At 42.9% G+C, this 23,779-nt stretch overlaps 1 protein-coding gene across 16 annotated transcripts in view; it reads left to right on the forward strand.

The window, feature by feature from the left end:
* ZNF655 (zinc finger protein 655) overlaps window positions 1-14,625 on the forward strand; it is a 17,812-nt gene extending 3,187 nt beyond the window's left edge. For 4 of the 16 annotated variants that reach the window (NM_024061.4, NM_001085367.1, XM_047420832.1 and 1 more), the window contains exons 3-5: window positions 60-145; window positions 540-666; window positions 2,035-2,877. In NM_024061.4, the coding sequence (NP_076966.1) occupies window positions 60-145; window positions 540-666; window positions 2,035-2,231 (410 nt within the window). In that variant the 3' untranslated portion in view covers window positions 2,232-2,877. Of the gene's footprint in view, window positions 1-59; window positions 667-2,034; window positions 2,878-9,859; window positions 9,965-10,416 lie in introns of those variants that run through there. The other 12 variants (NM_001083956.2, NM_001085368.1, NM_001363332.1 and 9 more) reach the window with 6 other exon arrangements.

The raw sequence follows: 23,779 nt of genomic DNA on the forward strand, positions 1-23,779 counted from the left end.
CTGAAAGGGAGCCCTGGGAAAGGGCTGCTCTCACTCTTCACTCCTTTCTCCTCCCTCAGCTCCACCTGTTCCTCAGGTGCCTGCTCTTCCCCGTGAGGGAAGCCCAGGAGACCAGGCAGCTGCGCTCTTGACAGCCAGGTACCAGGTGAGCTGAGGAACCCTCTGCTTTTCCTCAGGGACTATTGCTACTGATGGAGTGTGGCCTCTCTCTCATCCCATCTGTAGACCTTGCCTGGAATTTTTTTCAATAGCAGACTCCAGTTTGGGAATTGATCCTCTTCGGAGACCTGGACTTCACATAAACCAACTTCCCATCTCCCCAGTGCCATGAGCAAACTCTGTTTTCTCTTTGTCCATGGTTGTGTGATGGGTGCTTATTAGATGTTTAAGGGTTATGGGCTTTATTCCGTAGGTTCTAATCTGTTCTCCCTCCTCCTCAACGTAAGTACACAGTGGATACCCTCTCTATGATCTTCATTCTCTGGCCATGGTGCTACAGTGTTCTCATTCCTCAGAGCAGCCAGGATGTGTTATTTCAGGAGTTTGTGACATTCGAGGATGTGGCTGTGCACCTTACTCGAGAGGAATGGGGATACCTGGACCCTGTTCAGAGGGACCTCTACAGAGAAGTGATGTTAGAGAATTATGGGAACGTGGTCTCACTGGGTAAGGACTTCCTTATTATTCGGTTTATCTATTTGAATTTCTTTACTTTCTTGTTTCTTCCTAAGTATAAGGTCTCTGAGAAGGTCTGTAGAGTGTGGCTTAGATTCCAGGACTTAGAACCTCTGAATCCTTATCTTTCACATCGTCTTCTCCGGGAGGGGTAATTAACGTTTGTTTGGGGGTGCCAAGAAGAGACATTCTCCTCCTTATCCCCAGTTCATGTTTATGGCCATTGTGGGGCATCTTTTCCCTTTTAGCAAAGGGAAACTTTCTTGTGCTTTGCTTGATTTCTCACCGTTCTTTTCTTTTCCATTTTTGTAGGAGAGACCCCAGGGTGGCCTCCCAACCTCCAACCAGACACTTTCCTCTTTGTTATCTCAGTGTCCCTGTATTAGAGAATTGAAGAATTTCCCATTTTTCTAGGAAAAAGAAATGCCGTTTATTTAAAAAGACAGGCTAAATTCCTTCTTGTTGAGTAGTCCCTCACCCCTTAAGATCCCCAGATGTATCTCCAAGCAGGCAGAACTTGAGATGTCATTTGAAGGCATGACTCACTGTGAGTACATTTCAGTGAGTCACCCAGAATGGTAATCCCACGTAACCACACCCAGGGCAGCAGAAATCTCAGATGTTTACCCCATGCTGAGGTGGGGTCAATGCTTAACTCATGTCTCTCCCTTGTCATTTTGAAAGGTACAGTGGGAAGCTGGGATTAGCCAAGCTGTAGTGCTGCTGGGAAGCATCAGTGGGGTTTGTCGGCAGCTCCCTTGGTGTGAGCATTGTTCCTTTTTCTTTAGTTTATTTTTTATATTATATTATATTTTTTATTTTATTTTATTTTTAGATGGAGTTTCACTCTTGTTGCCCAGGCTGGAGTGCAGTGGTGCAATCTCAACTCACTACAACCTCTGCCTTCCAGGTTCAAGCGATTCTCCTGCCTCAGCCTCCCAAGTAGCTGGGATTACAGGCATGGGCCACCACGCCCGCCTAATTTTGTATTTTTAGTAGAGACGGGGTTTCACCATGCTGGTCAGGCTGATCTCGAACTCTTGACCTCAAGTGATCCACCTTCCTTGGCCTCCCAAAGTGCTGGAATTACAGGCATGAGCCACCGCACCCAGCCTCCTTTTTCTTTAGTTTCTTGCTTGCTTCTGCACTCTTCTTTTTGTGTGTGTAAATACTGAATCATGCATTTTCTTTTCTTTTTTTTTTTTCCGTTGGCTTTGTCTATGCTGGTGGCATCCAGGGCATTGCTTTGTCTCCCTGATTATGCTCAGGATTCAAGGTCTTCTTATTTGTGGGGAGGCAGGCTGCCCACTGGGACGGTTTTTAGTGTGTTTTCCATTCCTGGCTCTTTAATCTTTGTAGGCATACTTCTCCGCCTTCCCACCACCCGGATTCATAGTGTGAATTCCTGCCCGGCCCTGAGTCATACCCAGGCAAGTGCTTTCTCTGGAGAAACACTTGCCGTCCTTACAGCAGGAATCTCCAAGAGATGGCCCAAGTATCGGCTTCCCATCGATATTGCTCGTCCCTGCTCGGAAACTCCTTTTCCACGATTGTGAGATATTAAAATTGACTGATGGAATAGAAGCTCCCCAGGATGCCACCACTGTGTAAAATCGCAGCTCCTCAAATTACCTCTGTTTAATTTCAAATGTTAGGGTCCAAGGAAGCCCTCTGTTGCAACCAGATATGTTTTGAACCCAGTTCATTCAGAAACCATGGTTGGTGGTCATCATCTACTTGTATTGTGAAAAACCAGAAATTCCAAATTCAGCTCTTCAGTTATGGTCTTTTCATATTATTTTAGAATGTGAAACTTATGCTGTGTGCCCCTCCTTTTATGTGGCGAACACAACCTGCCCCGTATGGTGCCTAACTCTCCTGTGAACCCTGGGCTTCCCTCATGTTTAACATTCTGGTTTCCTCCTTCCTTGAAGTCCCTGTGGCCCTCTTCAAGGTCCTACCTTCCTACCCTTTATTCTTTGTGGTTCTGTACAGATTGATGCAATTATATTGCCTTTCCTGATTAAGTGTTCCTTACTCTGTCCTTGATGGAGGGGAGAAGGGAGGGCAAAGAAGTTAAATTTATTTCAGGGCATCAAATTGAATATCTACTTAATAACTTTGTAAACTGTAAAGTGACATACATATAATTGTAAAGTACTGTTAATTTTATCTAATAATTACAGAGTTTCCAACAGTTAACCTGTCTACTTTTTGGAGTAAAGAAACTTTGTAGCAGTTTAATGCAGTCTAATAGCATAGTATGCTATAGACTGAACTTTATCCCATTTCCTCTCTTATCTCTGCACTGCACACTCGACATGCAGTCGACATGCATACACACTTTTACACATACAAGAGACACGCACAGTGCAAGAAAGCCTTCTACTCATCTTGCTTTTGTGATCAAGTTAGCAGCATCTCCTTAGCAGTTATTTTTACAATCCTTGGGAAATCATTTTCATATTTTTGGGTTCAGCAGACTTCATCTGAAAATTAACCCATTTATGCCTAGTGTTCCATTATTGGAACACTAAGCTTGCGGGAATTATTTATGTCCCGCTGCTCAAGGTCATCGCCAAGGTCTGATTTTTAACAAAAATTGCAACCTCCAGCATAACTGGGTTAAGTTTATACATTTATTAATTTAACTTTTTAGGGTTGTAAGACTTTTTTTTTTTTTGAGACGGAGTCTTGCTCTGTTGCCCAGGCTGGAGTGCAGTGGCACCATCTCTGCTCACCGCAAGCTCCACCTCCCGGCTTCATGCCATTCTCCTGCCTCAGCCTCCCAAGTAGCTGGGACTACAGATGCTCGCCACCATGCCTGGCTAATCTTTTCGTATTTTTAGTAGAGATGGGGTTTTGCCATCTTAGCCAGGATGGTCTCGATCTCCTGACCTCGTGATCCGCCTGTCTCGGCCTCCCAAAGTGCTGGGATTACAGGTTGTGAGCCACTGCGCCTGGCCTCCAGATTGTATTTGTCACAGACATTAGAACGTTGGTCCTTTGCTTAAGTGCTTCCACTATGCAGCAGTAAATATACAGAGTACAAATAGCTGAGTAAAGAAGTCGGTAATAAGTAATTTTCGTTACCACATAATTGAAAAAAGAACATACTCCATTGATGATGAATGAACAATTTGCCTCTGGGTCACTATCCATAGGGAAGTTACCTGTTACTTAGTGTGGTAGATTAAGACCCATAAAGGGGACCGAGTTGCTTTTCACATGGGTAAGTGTGGCAGGTGCCCTATTAGATGATGGCCTCAGAAGCATGCTTGTTAAAATTCTAATTGATATTAACTGGGTCAGTAGATTGGGAATGTTTGGCACATACTCTCTGCTTTTTTAACTTGATGTCATGAAGGACTACAGTTATTTTGCACAGAATGTTTTCCATTGTCACAGCTATTTAGTATTTATTGAGCAGCCAATATGTTATTGGGTACTATATATATGTATGTATACACACACACACACATATGTATATACACACACACAGACATAGGACATTTATATGTGTGTGTGTGTGTGTGTGTATATATATATATAAAGGATATGTGTATATATCTCATTTAATCCTTACCATAACCCTGTGAGCAGATGACACTGCTCCTATTTTATATCTGAGGAAACTGAGGCTCAGAGAAGTTAAGTGATCTTTGCAGGATCAGTGAGAGGCTTGGGACCCAGATCTGCCTCTGAAGCCCCTGCACTTTTTCACTACTTTGTGCCCTTAGGACAATAAGTTCAACTACACATGGAGTTTTTAATATTTTTAGTGAGTTGTGTGTACTCTGATGACAAGAAAAATTCAAAATGCCATGACAAATTGGACAGACAGGCCAGTATATAGTTTGGGACCAGAAAGGACATGCATTCAAAAAGTAAAACTCTCTAGGGACACATTCCAGTCCAACAGGTATCTACAAAAGAATGATATTGCTAAGGAGAGATATTATTTGTGTATTAAGGACCAGGAAGAAAAGCGTGAAGCTTTCAGATGGCTAAAAGCATAGCCGTAGTAAAAGCAGCAAACCATATGATAAGGCAAATTTTAAATATTATTTTTGAGGCAGGGTCCCCTCTTGTTGCCCAGGCTAGAATACAGTGGCATGATAACAGCTCACTGCAGCCTGGACTTCCCTCCAGGCTCAGGTGATCCTCCTACCTCAGCCTTCTGGGTAGCTGGGACTATAGGCCTGTACCATCATGCTAATTTTTTTCTATTTTTAGTAAAGAAGGTGTTTCGCTATGTTACCCAGGCTGTTGAACTCCTGGGCTCAAGTGATCTGCATGCCTCAGCTCCCCAGAGTCCTGGGATTACACATGTGAGCCAACACCATGCTCAGCTTTAACTGTTATTTTTGAAGACCAGATTAAAATAAATTTTATTAGAAAACTCTCAAGATTTAAATAAAATAATTTTTTTTTTGGAGACAGTCTTGCTCTGTCGCTCAGGCTGGAGTGTGGTGGCACAATGTCAGCTCACTGCAACCTCCGCCTCTCAGGCCCAAGCCATTCTTGTGCCTCAGCCTCCAGAGTAGCTGGGACTACAGGCATGCACCACCATACCCAGCTAATTTTTGTATTTTTAGTAGAGATGGGGTTTTGCCATGTTGGCCAGGCTGGTCTTGAACTCTTGGCCTCATGTGTTCCACATCCAGCCTTAAAATCAAAAGGTTTTAATAACTTAATTTTAAACGGAAAAAATGTAAAGCAAGTGCATATTTTGAAAGCATAGAGTCGGCCAGGTGCTGTGGCTCACACATGTAATCCCAGCACTTTGGGAGGCCAAGGCAGGCGGATCACCTGAGGTTGGGAGTTCGAGACCAGCCTGACCAACATGGAGAAACCCCGTCTCTACTAAAAATACAAAATTAGCCGGGCATGGTGGCGCATGCCTGTAATCCCAGCTACTCTGGAGGCTGAGGCAGGAGAATCACTTGAACCCAGGAGGTGGAGTTGAGGTGAGCCGAGATCGTGCCATTGCACTCCAGCCTGGGTGACAGAGTGCAACTCCGTCTCAAAAAAAAAAAAAAAGCATTCACGTCAATGTCAAGAGAACCTGCTACTAATGCTTTCTTTGATAGGCAGTATGATAGGTTGGAAAGAATATAAACTGGGATCAAGCTTGGGTTCCACTTACCAGCTGTAGTATGTTGAGCAAATTATTTAATCTGACACTCATTTTCTTGGTTTATAAAACATGAAAAATAATGTCTACCTTCTGGGTACAGGATTGAATTAGATTATGCATATAAGTACCTGGCTTGTGTCGGGTGCGGTGGCTCACGCCTGTAATCCAGCACTTTGGGAGGGTGAGGTGGGCGGATCACAAGGTCAGGAGTTCGAGACCAGCCTGACCAACATGGTGAAACCCCGTCTCTACTAAAAATACAAAAATTAGCTGGGCATGGTGGTACATGCCTGTGATTGCAGCTACCCAGGAGGCTGAGGCTGGAGAATCGCTTGAACCCGGGAGGTGGAGGTTGCAGTGAGCCAAGATCATGCCATTGCACTCCAGCCTGGGCGACAGAGCGAGACTCCATACCCCCCGGCCAAAAAAAAAAAAAAAAAATTAAGTACCTGCCTTGTGCTAGTTACTTTAATATTTTGGAAAGAATAGCAAGCGATATGAGCCATAGACCAGATTTTTTAATACAAATAAAAATTTCAGGAGTGTGTTCAAATTATTTATTTATAGTGGAGTTTCCTCAAATTTATTATTGTTTGGACTATTGTCTAGGGATTTGGATTTTTTTTTTTTTTTTTGAAATGGAGTCTCCCAGGCTGGAGTGTAGTGGCGTGATCTCGGCTCACTGCAACCTCTGCCTCCCGGGTTCAAGCGATTCTCCTTCCTCAGTCTCTCGAGTGGCTGGGACTACAGGCACCCGCCATCACGCCCGGCTAATTTTTGGTATTTTTAGTAGAGACAGGGTTTCACCGTGTTAGCCAGGATGGTCTCGATCTCCTGACCTTGTGATCTGCCTGCCTTGGCCTCCCAAAGTGCTAGGATTACAGGCGCGAGCCACCGTGCCTGGCTGGGGTTTGGATTTTTATTGTAAAGGATTTCCATTTCCTTGATAATAAATCATCTTTTAGATCCCTTTTAATTTTTAATTTTAATTTTTTGTAGAGATGGAGTCTCACTATGTTCCCCAAGCAGGTCTCAAATTCCTGAGCTCATGAGATCCTCCTGCCTTGACCTCTCAAAGTGCTGGGATTACACGTGTGAGCCACCATGCCTGGTCCATAGATCCTCTTGATTCGTTTGTTGGTTGATTGACTGACTGACTGACTGACAGGATCTCACTCTCACCCAGGCTGGAGTACAGTGGTGTGATCTTGGCTCTCTGCAGCCTCGGCCTTCTGAGCTCAAGCGATCATTCTGCCTCTGCCTCCCAAGTAGCTGGGACTACAGGCGTGTGCCACCATGCCTGGCTAATTTTTGTATTTTTTGTAGAGGTGGGATCTCACTATGTTGCCCAGGCTGGTCTCAGACTCTTGGGCTGAAGTGATCTGTCCGTCATGGCCTCCCAAAGTGCTGGGATTACAGGTGTGAGCTTCTGTGCCCAGCCATAGATCCCTTTTAATTAACACTTCTGCGACTCCAATTATTTAGGATCCTGGTTCACCGTATGTTATTCTAATCACTTTTTCTCTGTTGTTTGTATTTACCTTTTACTTCACTGTCAATATTTTATAAATCATATTAGAAAACTCAAGATTTAAATAAAATCAAAAAGTTTTAATACATTAATTTTAAACAGGAAAAATGTAAATAAAGCAAGTGCATATTTTGAAAGCAAAGTTTTGAGTTAAATTTAGGAAATAGGCATTTAGGCTAGTGCCAAGAAAACTTACACGTTCTTTCTGTGTGTAATTTGGAGGAAGGGATGGATTTTGTTCACAGTCATTATTTATTTTTTTTCAGGGCTTGTTAGGAGGCAAAATCATAATTTTTTTTTTACTAGCAGATTGTTTAAAGGCTAGGTTCTGAAATAAGACTGTGCAGGTTTGAAAACTAAGCATTACCAGTTATTGTAACCTTGGGCAAGCTACTTAACCACTCTGAATCTTAGTATTCCCATCTGTAAAATGGCTATAATAATAGTTTCTACGTTTTAAATTTATGGTATTAAATGAGTGAAAACCTAGAGAGCTCTTGGCATGGTACTTTGCACCTACCAAGTACTTAGTAAAACTTAATAATATTTTGATGGTACTGATGATACCCTGTTCTCTCTTCTAAACTGTGATATTGTATCTTTACCTGCTAGGCATTTTCTCTTTTAAAAAAAATTATTTCAGTAGTTTTGGGGGCGTACAAGTGGTTTTTTGTTACATGGATGAATTCTAATACATAGTGGTGAATTCTGAGATTTTAGTGCACCTGTCACTGGAATAGTGTACATTGTACCTAATATATAGTTTTTTATCCCTTGTCCCTTCTCCCACCCTTTCCCTTCTTAGTCTCTGAAGTCCATTTTATCACTCTGTATGCCTTTGCGTACTCATCTGCTGGGCATTTTCTCTTATACCTTCGTACATTACATTAAACACACATCTAAAATCAAACCCCTCATCCCACATGAAGACCACCTTTTTTGTTGTGCATATGTGTTTTAAGTGTAGATATGGAGTAAGCAGCCAGAATTTATTTCAGTTACCAAATATCGACAGACACTTTAAATATCTCAGAGTTAAAAGTTGCAAATTATGTTATTGGAATTCTGAGAACAATATTGATTGCTGCTTCATGTTACACTAACTTTACTTTTTAAACTTCTGAAACGATTTCATTTGACAGGGTGGACCTTAATTAAATATATGTCCACAAGGAGAGTTGACTCTAAATGTCCCACAGGATTTCAGAAACACAGTAAATACCTTTCTTCTATCTATTCTGATCTCCTTGCTCATAGGCTCTCACATGGAATCTTTGGGGCAGCTGTCAGTTCTTCATATTTTCCAGCCCCAATGCCCTTTTTATAAAATTGGGTAGCTGTTAATACATTGATACTTGGGCGCACAGAGTTGGCACTCAATAAGTAGCCGTTAAGTAAATTAATCAAAAGAATTGCAAGATACAAGATACCTGGTCCCTTCTATCAAAGAGTTTATAAATCAAGTATGAATGACAATACCTGAAACCACTTAAAAAAAAATCTATGTAAACACCGTTATATGTGACATGTCAGGATAAGAGGGAACAACTAATAAATTTTGTACACATTCAGTAAATGGAGAGAAAGGTTTTTGGAGATGAGGGGCTTGAGCCAGACCTTGTATGTGTGCTATTAGAAGCTTTCTGGGCTGGACACATTTAAAAACTGCCCTTTGATACTAATAGTATTAAAATTCTGTCTCCTTGGAAGCAGACTGCCTGTTGCTTTAGCTTTAAAAGAGATTTATATCCAAGCATTGCATTATGCAAGCCATAGAAAGACTGTTTTATGTGAAGATGCACTGATTGCACTTCCCTCTCTATATTTTATTGTAGTTAGTTGTTTAGAGCTGTCTCTGTGTAGAGTGTGAGGTCCTTGAGGGAAGGGACCTTCTTGGCCTCTTATCCCCTGCATACTTTGCATAGAGGAGGCACTTCATAAATGTTTGTTGAATAAATGCTACACTCCTAATGGGTAAGAATGTGTCATATTACTCTTTGTTTTCTTATGTGTACTGAAACAAATTGTTTCTTGAGATTGGTCCTTAGAATATTTATTCAGTTTTCACTGATTCTCTTGCTACAGGTTAGCTAACCATGCAGCAGGTGCTTGAGTTTCACCTTTCTCCAGTCCAGCAGAATTACATTTTGATGACCTCCATTTTGATACTTGTAGACCAGATCTAATCCGAAGATTAATCTTTAGGTAACAGATGGAGAGTGATAATGATAACTTCTGTGAAGACAAACCCATGCACACATTCTGTTGTCTGAATAATATTTAAATGAATCCTTCTGCTCCCAAGTCATCAACTTGCCCCTTAACACACATCCCTCTAGAGCACAAATCTGAGCTCCTTGTAGATCTTTGCCCTCTTCACTCTCCAGACCTTCCTAATTAATGTCTTCTCAGAATCGACCTTCTGTCTCTCTTAATCATTAGTTAAAAGAAAAAGTGGCAGATGTAGGACCTGGGGATACATTGCCACATCCCATTTCCTTCTCTATGAGCAGGATTTCCAATTTCCAAGCCTGATGGGATCTCCCAGCTGGAACAGGATCTACAGGTCTTTGATCTGGAAACTAAGACTAGAGAAGTCTTAAGAGATGACTGCTCAGGTGAGTAAGGCAGAATCAGATAGAATTAGTAGGGAAGTAAAGTTCAATTGTTGAGCCAAGTTGTAGCTGCTTTGGCACTCAGAATGAAGAGCTCTGTGTGTGTCCTAGCATGGAGAGTTCCTTCCTTTTCCCTTCAGTTAGGTTGACCCTTTCCATTTGTTTAGTATCCGTGCACATGTCGTACTAGACCCCAATCAAGTTGCTTATCTAAAATTCTTTCAGCTGTTTCCCTATTATTTCCTTACTCTGCTGAACATGTCCGCTGTTTTACCTCACTGCTCCTGTTTATGCCCTTAACTTCTGCTGTTGAGATTTTGTGCCTGTTTTTCAGAGTAAATAAACTTTTCTTGTCCTTGTAGATACTACATTGTTTAGTTTTCTCATCTGAGTTTTCTTTTCCTAAGCACAGGGTACAGATTACATTTGCATTTTCTATTTATATATTGTATCAGATGGAGAGACCAGAGAAGAGAACAAGCTGTTGATTCCTAAGCAGAAAATTTCGGAAGAAGTGCATTCATACAAAGTGAGAGTAGGAAGACTCAAACACGATATTACCCAAGTTCCTGAGACTAGAGAAGTGTATAAGTCTGAGGACAGATTAGAAAGACTTCAGGAAATTCTAAGGAAATTTCTGTACCTGGAGAGAGAGTTTAGGCAAATAACAATCAGCAAGGAAACCTTCACCAGTGAGAAGAACAATGAATGTCATGAACCCGAAAAAAGCTTCAGTCTGGACTCTACTATTGATGCAGATCAGAGAGTTCTTAGAATACAGAATACCGATGACAATGATAAGTATGACATGAGCTTCAACCAGAATTCAGCCTCTGGTAAACATGAACACTTAAATCTAACAGAGGATTTTCAGAGTAGTGAATGTAAGGAAAGCTTAATGGATCTCTCCCACCTTAATAAATGGGAGAGCATCCCTAACACTGAGAAATCCTATAAATGTGATGTATGTGGGAAAATTTTCCATCAGAGCTCAGCCCTTACTAGACATCAGAGAATCCATACTAGAGAGAAGCCCTACAAATGTAAAGAATGTGAAAAGTCTTTCAGTCAGAGCTCAAGTCTTAGTCGACATAAAAGAATACACACTAGAGAAAAACCTTACAAATGTGAAGCATCTGATAAATCCTGTGAAGCGTCTGATAAATCCTGTAGTCCAAGCTCAGGCATAATTCAGCATAAGAAAATTCACACCAGAGCCAAATCTTACAAATGTAGCAGTTGTGAAAGAGTCTTCAGTCGTAGTGTCCACCTTACTCAACATCAGAAAATTCACAAAGAGATGCCCTGTAAGTGTACTGTATGTGGCAGTGACTTCTGCCATACTTCATACCTACTTGAACATCAGAGGGTCCATCATGAAGAGAAAGCCTATGAGTATGATGAATATGGGTTGGCCTATATTAAACAACAAGGAATTCATTTCAGAGAAAAGCCCTATACGTGTAGTGAATGTGGAAAAGACTTCAGATTGAATTCACATCTTATTCAGCATCAAAGAATTCACACAGGAGAGAAAGCACATGAATGTAATGAATGTGGAAAAGCTTTCAGTCAAACCTCATGCCTTATTCAGCATCACAAAATGCATAGGAAAGAGAAATCGTATGAATGTAATGAGTATGAGGGCAGTTTCAGTCATAGCTCAGATCTTATCCTGCAACAAGAAGTCCTCACCAGACAGAAAGCCTTTGATTGTGATGTATGGGAAAAGAACTCCAGTCAGAGAGCACATCTAGTTCAACATCAGAGCATTCATACCAAAGAGAACTCATGAATGTAATGAAGATGGGAAGATATTTATCAAATTCAGGCTTCATTCAGCATCTGAGAGTTCACACCAGGGAGAAATCATGTATGTACTGCATGTGGTAAAGCCTTCAGTCATAGCTCAGCCATTGCTCAGCATCAGATAATTCACACCAGAGAGAAACCCTCTGAATGTGACGAATGAAGAAAAGGTATTAGTGTTAAACTCTTAATCGACTCCTGCAAATCTATACCAGTGAGAAATCTTACAAATGTATTGAATGTGGCAAATTTTTCATGCTATTAGTATTTTCATACCTTAGTCACATTTGGAGAATTCACATGGGAATAAAATTCCATTGCTGCAATGAATGTGAAAAAGCCATCAGTCAAAGAAACTACCTTGTTTAGTATCAAATTCACGCCATGCAAAAAGATTATAAATGTAATAAGCATGTATGTGTGTGAGGAGATTCAGTCATAACCCAACGCTCATTCAACATCAAAGAATTTATACCTAAGAGAACTTATTTGGGTGTAGTAAATGGCAGATCTTTCAATAGGAGTTTAACTAGTCTTTGTCATATCAGAATATCCATAGTAGACAAGAATTTGATGTAACGCAAATGGAAAAACTCGACACCACATTTCAGGCTTTACCCAACATCGAAATAATGGAGAGAAAATTGTTGATTATTTGTTTATGAAATTGTTAATACATAGTCCCAATCTTTTTCATTGCACAAAAATCTAGGGTTGACTTGGTAAATGCAGTGACATTTTCTCATGGAGTTCCTTTATTTAATATGTATTCTAAGTAGGTACGTTTATTTTTACTTTTTTATTATAATTTTGATATTAAAAAGAACAGAGATGGGGTCTTGCTTTGTTGCCCAGGCTGGTCTTGAACTCCTGGCCTCAAGCGATCCTCCCACCTGTCCTCCCAAAGTGCTGGGGTTACAGGCGTGTGTCACTGTGCTGGGCCTATTTTATTTATAGAACTCATTTAAGCTGTTTTTATTTTAATATGCCCTATAAACATTTTTATATTTTTTGAAATTGGTTCTTAGTGTTCACAACTTCCATAAGATACTGCTAATGCACCAGTATTAAAACACATCGACGTAAGTAGCTCATTTAGCTTTTTCTGCTGTTCTTGGCCCAAGTTCTTTCCAAAACCAACTCTTAGGCCTGCTCTTTACTAGGGATCTTATGTCGTATTGCTTTACAGCCACAACACTTGGATTCCTGTTGATTAACTTCTCCATTCTCTTAAGCACCTTTAGAAGATTTAGAAGTTTCCTAGTTTTAAGTGTTTCACCAGCAAGTATTCCATACCTACTTGATGTTGCTGGTCTGGTGTCTTATTTCCTAAAGTGAAGCATCTTTTTTTAAAAAAGAATTTGATTGACAATATATCCAGTCCAATATAAGTATGAAGGATTCTCTCTCCTGAGATTGTAGCAGGCAGCCAAACATTTTCAAATGATGCCCAAGGTTTTAGCTGTCTTGTGTGCATCCACAGTCTGCGAAGAAGACATGATAAGGACATCAGGGAGCCAACAAGACTCCTAATAGCCTCACTACATTCATCCAGTGCCTATTCTGCATGCCTAAGCTTAGAGTTCTTTTATATACCTCTACGGCCAGCAAAATGCTCAGGTCTGCTCTTGGTAGGGTAAACATAAAGAAGATACACAGGCCGGGCATGGTGGCTCACACCTGTAATCCCAGCACTTTGGGAGGCTGAGGCGGATGGATCACGAGGTCAGGCAGTCGAGACCATCCTGGCCAACATGGTGAAACCCCGTCTCTACTAAAAATACAAAAGTTAGCCGGGTGTGGTGGCACGCGCCTGTAATCCCAGCTACTCAGGAGGCTGAGGCAGGAGAACTGCTTGAACCTGGGAGGCGGAGGTTGCAGTGAGCCGAGATTGCACCACTGCACTCCAGCCTGGGCGACAGAGCAGGACTCTCTCTCAAAAAAACACAAAAAAACAAAAACAAAAAACCATACACACACACACACACACACAAATCAGCATCATAAGGGAATGTAGCCTTCCAACAGAGATGATGCTGTTCGTATGTTAATCTCAGAGACAGTATTTCAAGAGAGTGGCAGGTCTGTTCCTGGTAAAATTTTAACCATTAGGATTGCAGATAAATGTTTGAATTCTGCTCCTCTCTCATCAATCCAGGACAGTATTTGAAGTGTGAGGGCTTTGTGTATAGTTGTTTATCCATTACCACATTTTTGTATTTTAATAGTCTACAGGCTATATAAAAGAACATGGCTTTTTGACTGATAAAAGTGATTACAGATGTTGGCTCAAGTTCAGGGCCACCATCATATACCTAACAAGAGTTCATGATTCTTTAGGTAATGTCAAAACATTTTGTATTTTTCCATCTTAAGCTTTATAACATTTTGTGAGTAAGACAAATGTTATTTAAAATTCTTGTTGTCAGTCCAGCAATTGAGGCTTTCATAGTTCAGTGTTATAATATTCAGTAGGGACCCTCAACAAATATATAAAAATATGTTGCTCACTCTATAATCCTCCTATGGCTAACCTCTAGGATAGTTCTGCCACTATATTTTACTTCTTTGCCATCAGCAAGAGTAGGATTTCATCAAGGCAAGGTAGGAATCTAAATGAAATTGATATATAAATGAATTGATCTAAATGTAAAAGCAAATGAAAAATGCATGTGTTTTTTCCTGTCAAACATGTATACCCTTATGTATAGAGACCAGTAGTCACGTATGGTGACTGAAACAGGATTATGTAATCCCTAAAAAGCAGAATATGTAAAAATCACATGTATGCGTTTGGTTTAGGAATGTGCTTTTGTACTTCCACTTGAATAAAGGTGTGTTTGGTATTCTGAGAATTTGTTTCAAACAAAATCTGAAGGTCTCAGACAGAAGCGTTTGGGAATGTTGGAATCACATCTCTGGCTGCAACTCCTTTCCTCCCTGGAACTTGCTTCACAGCAAGAATGGATCACTTTCCTTTGCATTGATAACAAAGCTTGCTTTTCCACAGACCTCTGGAACAAAAGCTGAATGTTTGGGACTTAAAGGGGATTTGATTGGGAAGTTGTTGGTATATAAAATAAGACTAAATAGTTCGAGGTTTCAGTAGAACTAGGAATAACTTTTTGTTTGTTTGTTTGTTTTTTGAGACAGTCTCGTTCTGTCACCCAGGCTGGAGTGCAGTAGCGTGATCTCGGCTCACTGCAACCTCCGCCTCCTGGGTTCAAACGATTGTCTTGTGTCAGCCTCCCAAGTAGCTGGGATTACAGGCACCTGCCACCTTGCCTGGCTGATTTTTGTATTTTTAGTAGAGACCGGGTTTCACTGTGTTGGCCAGGCTGGTCTCAAACTCCTGACCTCAGGTAATCTGCCTGCCTCAGCCTCCCAAAGTGCTGGGATTACAGGCGTGAGCCGCTGTGCCCAGCCATATTTTTTAAATAAGTAAAACACTTTAAAAAAGGCGGACTCAAAATAGTCCTTTAGGGCAATCCTTTAAGCAGATATTTAATTGGCCTGATACATGAGTTTGTGTTCTGAGTCATTTTGGTCTTGAAAGGGGAGAGAAGAGAAATACGATAGTAGAGGGCACTTTTATCTTCTGTCTTTCCACCTACCTACACACACGTATGTTTGTACATATCTAAACTTTATTCTCAATTCTGCAAAGCAGCTAGCTTCATTTTACAAAGGAATATTTTAGTAAACATACCCCAGGCCAGGTGCAGTGGCTCACGCCTGTAATCTCAACACTTTGGGAGGCTGAGGCGGGCAGATCACTTGAGGTCAGGAGTTGGAGACCAGCCTGGCCAATGTGGCGAAACCCAGTCTCTACTTAAAATAGAAAAATTAGCCAGGCATGGTGTTGCGTGCCTATAATTCCAGCTACCTGGGAGGCTGAGGCGCAACAATAGCTTGAGCCTGGGAGGCAGAGGTTGCAATGAGCCGAGATTGTGCCACTGCACTCCGGAGTGAGACTCTGTCTCAAGAAAACACAAAAAAACAAAAAACAACAATATACCCCAAAGTGATGTTGGTATTACACAGATCTCAAAACCCAGAGAAGTTTGATAGCTCTTCATTCCCTAGTACATCGCTGATGACTCACTGTCATTAGTTTGCAACTGATCTCAAGTGCTCCGAGAGCTCTCTGGGATACTAGGAGAGAATATCCTGAGATTTTTTTAGGGAGCTAGTCAAACCCCTGCTCTGAAACAGGGTTGGACAGTTTTGACAATGGCAGGTCACAGGTCAAAGCTCTCAAATTTCATATGTCCTGTCAAGATACCGCTGCTGCCATCACTAGATTTGCATTTCCATTACACCGTGACCAAATTTACTCTTAATATTTTTCTGATAACCAGAACTTGCTGGTGGGCATGTATCCTTGCTAAGAGTCACTATCACCTCTGGTTATAGCAGTGGAGCAAAGTGGTAATGGGAAAATTCCTAGGTTTTTGGCCTGAGCAAAAGGGTGGATAGAAGTAGATGACAGGTGGGGAACACGGGGAGAGGGGCACGGAGAGTTTTAGCAAAAGAGCTAGCATGTCAAGGCCTGCATGTGAGAGTATGGCACTTTCCAGGTAATAAGTGAGGTATGGAGAAATGCCTCACTGTAGGATGTAGTATGTGGGCAACTGAGGAGGTTGAAGAACCAAGTTCAAAGGAGGCCCCTAGGGATTAGAGAACCAAGCACTATAGGATTCCCACATCTAAAAATGTTGCCTTCATTCATCCATTCATTCAGTAAACATTTAGCAGTGTAGGACTGGCATTGTTTCAGGAGGGATGCCCTGGATTTGGAGATCTTAACATGTAACTAGAGAAAACATTGGCATCCTGGGCTGTGGTGGGAACTAGCACCCGAAAGGTAACTCTGCTGGAGTCAGCAAACTGACATCTGTCCTTTTTCTAACATTTGTATCATATGAAACCACTTTTTTCTTCTTTTTTTTCAAACAGAATCTTGCTCTCTCGCCCAGGGTGGAGTGCAGTGATGTGATCTTGGCTCAGTGCAACCTCTGCCTCCCAGGTTTAAGTATTTCCTGCCTCAGCCTCCTGAGTAGCTGGGACTACAGGCACCTGCCATCACACCTGGCTAATTTTTGTATTTTTTGTAGGGACGGAGTTTCACCATGTTGGCCAGGCTTGTCTCAAACTTCTGACCTCAGGTAATCCACCCGCGTCAGCCTCCCAAAGTGCTGGGATTACAGGTGTGAGGGAATCACATTTTATATTCCCTTCAAAATACAAGTGTGTGAAGGAACCGGTGTTTTAATCCAAGAGTGTAAGAACGATTTCAAACAAATGGCACCCTTTACAAATAAAGAAACTACATACATTTAAAGCTTTATTTTGTGGACACTTCCTATTTACTCTCTGTTTTTAGAAAACTGTTAGCTATGGCTGGGTGTGGTGGCCCACGCCTGTAATCCCAGCACTTTGGGAGGCTGAAGCGGGTGGATCACAAGGTCAGGAGTTCAAGACCAGCCTGGCCAACATGGTGAAACCCCGTCTCTACTAAAAATACAAAATTAGCCAGGCGTGGTGGTGCTGTAATCCCAGCTACTCTGGAGGCTGAAGGAGGAGAATCGCTTAGAACCTGGGAAGCAGAGGTTGCAGTGAGTCGAGATTGCGCCACTGCACTCCAGCCTGGGCGACAGAGTGAGACTCTTGCCTTTAAAAAAACAACAACAACAAAAAACAAAAACGGTTAGCCTCTTGTATGTGTGTTTCATTTATGTTTATACATTTACAACCTGGGCATAATGAAAGCATTTGTTTTGTCTTTTCCCCATTTGCTCATATTACAATGACACAGTCTTCCTCCATTGTCCTTTGTGGGTGCAGTTAGATGCCCTCGCTCTGGTATGAGCAGGCCAGGGTTCAAATGCTGCCTTTGTTACATACCAAGTGCAGCTCTGGCATTTAGGATGGTAAAAAACAAAACCACCACCTGCACAGGACCGTTGTGAGGATTAATGAGATAGTGTCAGTTTAAGTGCTCCATAACTGGTAGTTGCTGTTTCTGAGTTTATCAGGAAACCCCTTATCACGAACAATTTGTCTCCTTAATCTTTTTTCTTCCTTTTCTGCTTCAATACATCTCATGCCTCTGGCAAACCCATACTCCTGGCCGGCTAGGTGGTTGGCTCTTGGCCCCTTCTCTAAGGCTTTTCTTGCCCGTTCCCCCTGCCTATTTATAGGTGGTGCAAAAGTAATTGCGGTTTTGCCATTTAAAAAATTGCAAAACAGCAATTACTTTTGCACCAACCTAATACACGCTCCAGGCCAAGCTGGGAGATGTTGGGGTGCACACAGGGAGAGGAGGACAGGCTGGCCTGTGGGTGAAGAGCGCGGGCCCCGCAGGGTCAACCCGGCCAGTGGTCACGAAAGGAGGTGGAGTGGGGGGAGGCGACATAGGGCAGGAAGAGGGGAGGACAAACGGGGTTCACATGGGGACCGTGGCGATGACACGGAAGGGACAGCCAGTTAGAGTCTAGGCCCACTTAGGCGATGAAGGGCAGGTGAAGAAATCCCGTTCCATCTTCCTGCAGTCCTCCCTTGGGGAGTCCACATCCTATCCTTCTCTGGACCGGGGCGGCTCCTGGAGGGACCGCGATCGAAATGAGGCCTCCGAGCCGCCCAGAGACTCCGAAGTGCGCGCAGCGGACCACGCGGTTTCCATGCGCCCCCTAGGGTGGGTGGGCTAGCTGTGCGCCCCAGTGCGGAGAACGGAGGAGGGGTCGGCCCCGTAGCGGCTGGAAACGCAGTTGGCGGCGGGGCCCAGCTTGCGGGGCTTCTGATCGCAGGGGCGGGGCCCGCCGCCGGTTTCTAAGGGCCTGGCAGAGTTCCTGCAGTCACGGTCAGGGGTCTTTGCTTTCGTCCATCCCCTCCTGGAGAAAGAACGCAGCTTCTAACGCCTTCTCGGTTGGGCACCCTTCTTGGGAAAGCTCCGCCTACCATTGCCCTTGTACCTGCCCTCTCTCTCCCTTTCCTGAAGTGACTGCCCGTCTCTAGCATCGTGTTGTGAATGTGTCGAGATTTTGGCGCTGCAGCAGCATCGGAGATTGGATCCAGCCCACGGAGAGGTCCCCAGACTCCATTTGTCCGCCCCAGGGCAGGGGCCTCGGAAGAGCAAGGGGGAGGAGCTAATCTAGCCGGCTGATCTTTGTGGCTTAGACAAAATTTAGAGTTTATTTGTCCCTCTGACCATGCTCTCAGATCAGATGGACAAGATTAGCCTTACACTTAGAAGCGTTGTGGTGCAAGACTAGTGACTTTTTTTTTCCCTTCCTTCCTTCCTTCCTTCTTTCCTTCTGTCCTCCCTCCCTCCCTCCTTCCCTCTCTTCCTTCCCTTTCTCCACCCCCCACCTTTTTTTTTTGAGACAGGGTCTCACTCTGTTGCTCAGGCTGGAGTGCAATGGCATGATCATAACTCACTGCAGCCTCGACCTCATGGGCTCAGGTGATCCTCTCACCTCAGCCTCCCAAGTAGCTGGGACTACAGGCCCACACAACCACGCCCGGCTTTATTTATTTATTTATTTATTTATTTATTTATTTATTTATTTATTTATTTTTAGAGACAGGGTCTCACTATGTTGCCTGGGCTGGTCTTGAACTCCTGATATTAAGCTATCCTCTCCCCTTGGCCTACCAAGATGCTAGGATTACAGGTGTGAGCCACTGTGTCTGGCCATGACATTTTGTTTTTTTCTTCTTTGTAACCTCAAGCTGTAGCCCATGTCAGTAAAGCCTGTTTCCTCTCTCGCTGTGTGGAACAAATCTGCAGCAGTGCTGTCTAGCTCTATTGTGAGGATCTGTTATACCAGCACCTGTTAACTTGCTTGGCATTTGGAGAAGCTAGGTAAATGTGTGAATGAATAAATGCACGAACCCAGCCAAGTATGTCCCATGAGCCAAGTACAAGAAGAGTGGACTCTTGTCCTACTCACACTCTCCTTCATCGTTAGGAAAGTGGCATTTTTCTACCCAAGGCATAAACTCTGAGAGTGGATACAATGGACAGGTCAGCCACCTGTTAAGAGAAATGGAAGTTAAAAGATTTATAACATTTTGATTTCAGTCTGCTGTCCCACCATTATCAGGTGTATGGCCATTTAAAGAAAATGAAGTTGGGGCCAGTCACGGTGGCTCACGGCTGTGATCCCAGCACTTTGGGAGGTTGAGGCATGCAGATCACTTGAGGTCAGGAGTTTGAGACCAGCCTGGCCAATATGGTGAAACCCTGTCTCTACTAAAAATGAAAAACAAATTAGCCGGGTCTGATGGTGTGTGCATGTGGTCCCAGCTACTCGGAGAGGCTGAGGTGGGACAGTTGCTTGAACCTGGGAGGTGGAGGTTGCAGTGAGCTGAAATTGTGCCACAGCATTCCAGCCTGGGCGACACAGTTAGACTCCATTTCCCGCCCCTCTGCCCCACAAAAAAAAAGTACACCGATATGATAGGGGAGTGTACTCCCTCTGCGATATTGCGAATAATATTGTCGTCTCCCTTTCTGGATATTAGGAGCAATATCAGAAGGAGGATACCCTGCAATATTGGAAGTAATATCATCCTCTACCACCCTGGATGTGTGTACACCTTTTGCAAAACTGGGAGTAATATTGTCTCCCCCCCCAATATTAAAAACAATATCACAGGGTGGGTGTACACTCCCTGCGATATTGGGGTTAACATCATCCTCTCTTTCCCTGATATTAACCACAATGTCAAAGTAGGGGTGTACACCCCCTGCGCTATTGGGAGTAATGTCATCCTTTCTCCCCCTGGATATTAGGAAATGTCTCAAGTGGGGTTTATACCCCCTGCAATATTGGGAATAATATCATCCTCTTCCCCCTGGATATTAGAAACAATATCACGGGGGGCGAGGTGTACATTCTCTGCGATATTGGGCATAGTATCATCTTCTCCCATCCTTAATATTAGGAACAGTATCACGGGGGGGTGTACACCCCCTGCGATATTGGAAGTAATATCATCCTCTCCTACCCTGGACATTAGTTATAATATCACAGTGCAGGTGTACACCCCCTGTGATATTGGGAGTAATATCATCCCCTTTTTTCCTGGATATTAAGAACAATATCACAGTGGGGGCGTACAACCCCTGTGATAATGGAAGTAATATTGTCCTCTCTTCTCCTGGATATTAGGAACAAAATCACATGGGGGTTGTACACCCTCTCCGATATTGGGAGTAACATCATCCTCTCCTACCATAATTATTAGGGACAATATCACAGGGGTGGTGTACACCTTCTGCGATATTGGGAGTAATATCATCCTTTCCCCATCTGGATATTTGGAACAATATCATGGGGGAGGGTGTATACCCCTTGTGATATTGAGAGTAATATAATCCTCTCCCCACCTAAATATTAGAAACAATATCATGGGGTGGGGTGTACACCTCCTGCAATATTGCGAGTAATATCATCCTCTTTCCCCCCTGCATATAAGGAACAATATCACGGGGTGGGGGGTACACCCCCTGCGATTTTGACAGTATTATCATCGCCTCCCCCCTTGGATATTAAAAACAATATCACAAGGGAAATATAACCTCCCTGTGATATTGGGAGTAATATCATCCTCTCCCTTTCTGGGTATTAGAAATAATATCAGAGAGTGGGTGGTCACCCCCTCCGATATTGGGAGTAATATCCTCTCCCCTTCTGGATATTAAAAGCAATATCATAGTGAGGGTGTACACCCTCTGCGATATTGGGAATAATGTCATTCTCTCCACCTGTGGATATGACAAACAATATCACAGTGGGAGTGTACACCCTTTGGGATATTGGGAATAATAACATCCTCTCCTACCCAGGATATTAGGAATAACATCGAAGGGGGATGTACATGCCCTGCGATATTGGGAGTAATATCATCTTTTCCCTCCCTGGATATTAGAAACAATATCACAGGGGAGGTGTACACCTTCTGCGATATTGGAAGAAATATCATCCTCTCCCAACCTGGATATTAGGAACTGTATCACAGGGGAGGTATACACCCCCTGCGATATTGGGAGTAATATTTTCCTCTCCTCCCTGGATATTAGGAACAATATCACGGGGGTGTACACCCCCTTCAATATTGAAAGTAATATCCTCTTTTCCCCTGGAGATCAGGAACAATATCAATGGAGGGTGTACACCCCCTTCAATATTGGGGTAATATCATCCTCTCCTTCCCTTGATATTAAAAACAGTACCACAGGGATGTGTACAACCCCTGCGATTTTGAAAGTAATATCATCCTGTCCTCTTCTGGATATTAGGAAGACTATCACAGGGGTGTGTGTACACCCTCTGCGATATTGGGAGCAATATCATCCTCTCCCCCCTGGATATTATAAACAATATCACAGGGGTGGTGTACACCCCTGCAATATTGGCAGTATATCATCATTTCCCCCGCTCCCAGATATTAGGAACAATATCACGGTGGGGGGGTGTACACGCTCTGTGATATTGGGAGTAATATCATCCTCTCTCTCTCTGGATATTAGGAACAATATCACAGGGAGGGTGTACACCCCCTCGATATTGAGTAATATTTTCTCCCCCACTGGAAATTAGGAACAATGTTACAGAGGGGGTGTACACCAACTGCGATATTGGTGGTAATATCCTCTACTTCCTGGATATTAGGAACAATCTCACTGGGGGTTGTACACCCCCTGCGATATTGGGAGTAATATCATCCTCTCCCCCTCTGGATACTAGGAACAATATCACATGGGGGGTGTACACTTCTCACACTATTGGGAGCAATATCATTTCCTCCCCCCCTACATATTAGAAACAATATCACAGGGGTGTTGTACACCTTCTGCGACATTGGGAGTAATAGCATCATCTTTCCCAGTGGATATTAAGAACAATATCACAGGCAAGGTGTACATTCCTTGAGATATTGGGAGTAATATCCTCTCCTAACCTGAGTATTAGGAACAATATCACAGTGGGGGTGTACAACTTCTACGATATTGGGAGTAGTGTTATCCTCTCCACCCTTGTATATTAGGAAGAATATCACACTGGGGGTGTACACCCCCTGCGATATTGAGAATAATGTTATACTCTTCACTCCTGGGTATTAGGAAGGAAGAACACCTACAAAGGGGGTGGACACCCCCTGCGATATTGGGAGTAATGTCATCCTCTCCTTCTCTGGATATTATGAACAAAATCACAGAGTGTGTGTACACTTTCTTTGATATTGGGATTAATATCATTCTCTCTTCCACTGGATATTAGAGGTAATATCACATGGGGAATGTACACCCTGTGATATTGACAGTAATATAATTGTCTCCCCACCTGCAAATTATTAACAATATCACAAGTGGGGTGTACACCTTCTGTGATATGGGAAGTAATATCATCCTCTCTTTCCTGGATATTACGAACAATATCACAGGGGGGTGAACACTCCCTGCGGTATTGGGAATAATATCATCCTCTTTCCCACTGGATGCTAAGAACAGTATCACAGGGAGGTGTACAACCCCTGAGATATTAAGAGTAATATCATCCTCTTTTCTCCTGGATATTGAAAAAAATATCACACTGGGGTGTACAACCTTGCTATATTGAGATTAATATTGTCATCTCCCGCCCTGGATATTAGGAACAATATCACAAGGAGGGTTCACACCCCCTGCGATATTGGGAGTGATATCATCCTCTTCCCTACTGGATAGTAGGAACAATATCACGGGGGAGTGTACCGTCTTTTCGATATTGGAAGTCATATCATTCTCTTTCCCTCTGGACATTAGGAACAATATCACAGGGAAGGTATACTCCACCTGTGATATTGACAGTAATATTATTGTCTTCCCCATTGGATATTAGGAACAGTACCACAAGGGGTGTGTACACCTCCTGCGATATTGGGAATAATACAATTTTCTTCTCCTTTGATATTAGAAGCAATATCACAGGGGGTGTGTACACGCTTTGCCATATTGGG

Source organism: Homo sapiens, chromosome 7, assembly GCF_000001405.40.
Source record: "Homo sapiens chromosome 7, GRCh38.p14 Primary Assembly".
In the NCBI taxonomy this organism is placed as follows: Eukaryota; Metazoa; Chordata; class Mammalia; order Primates; family Hominidae; genus Homo; species Homo sapiens.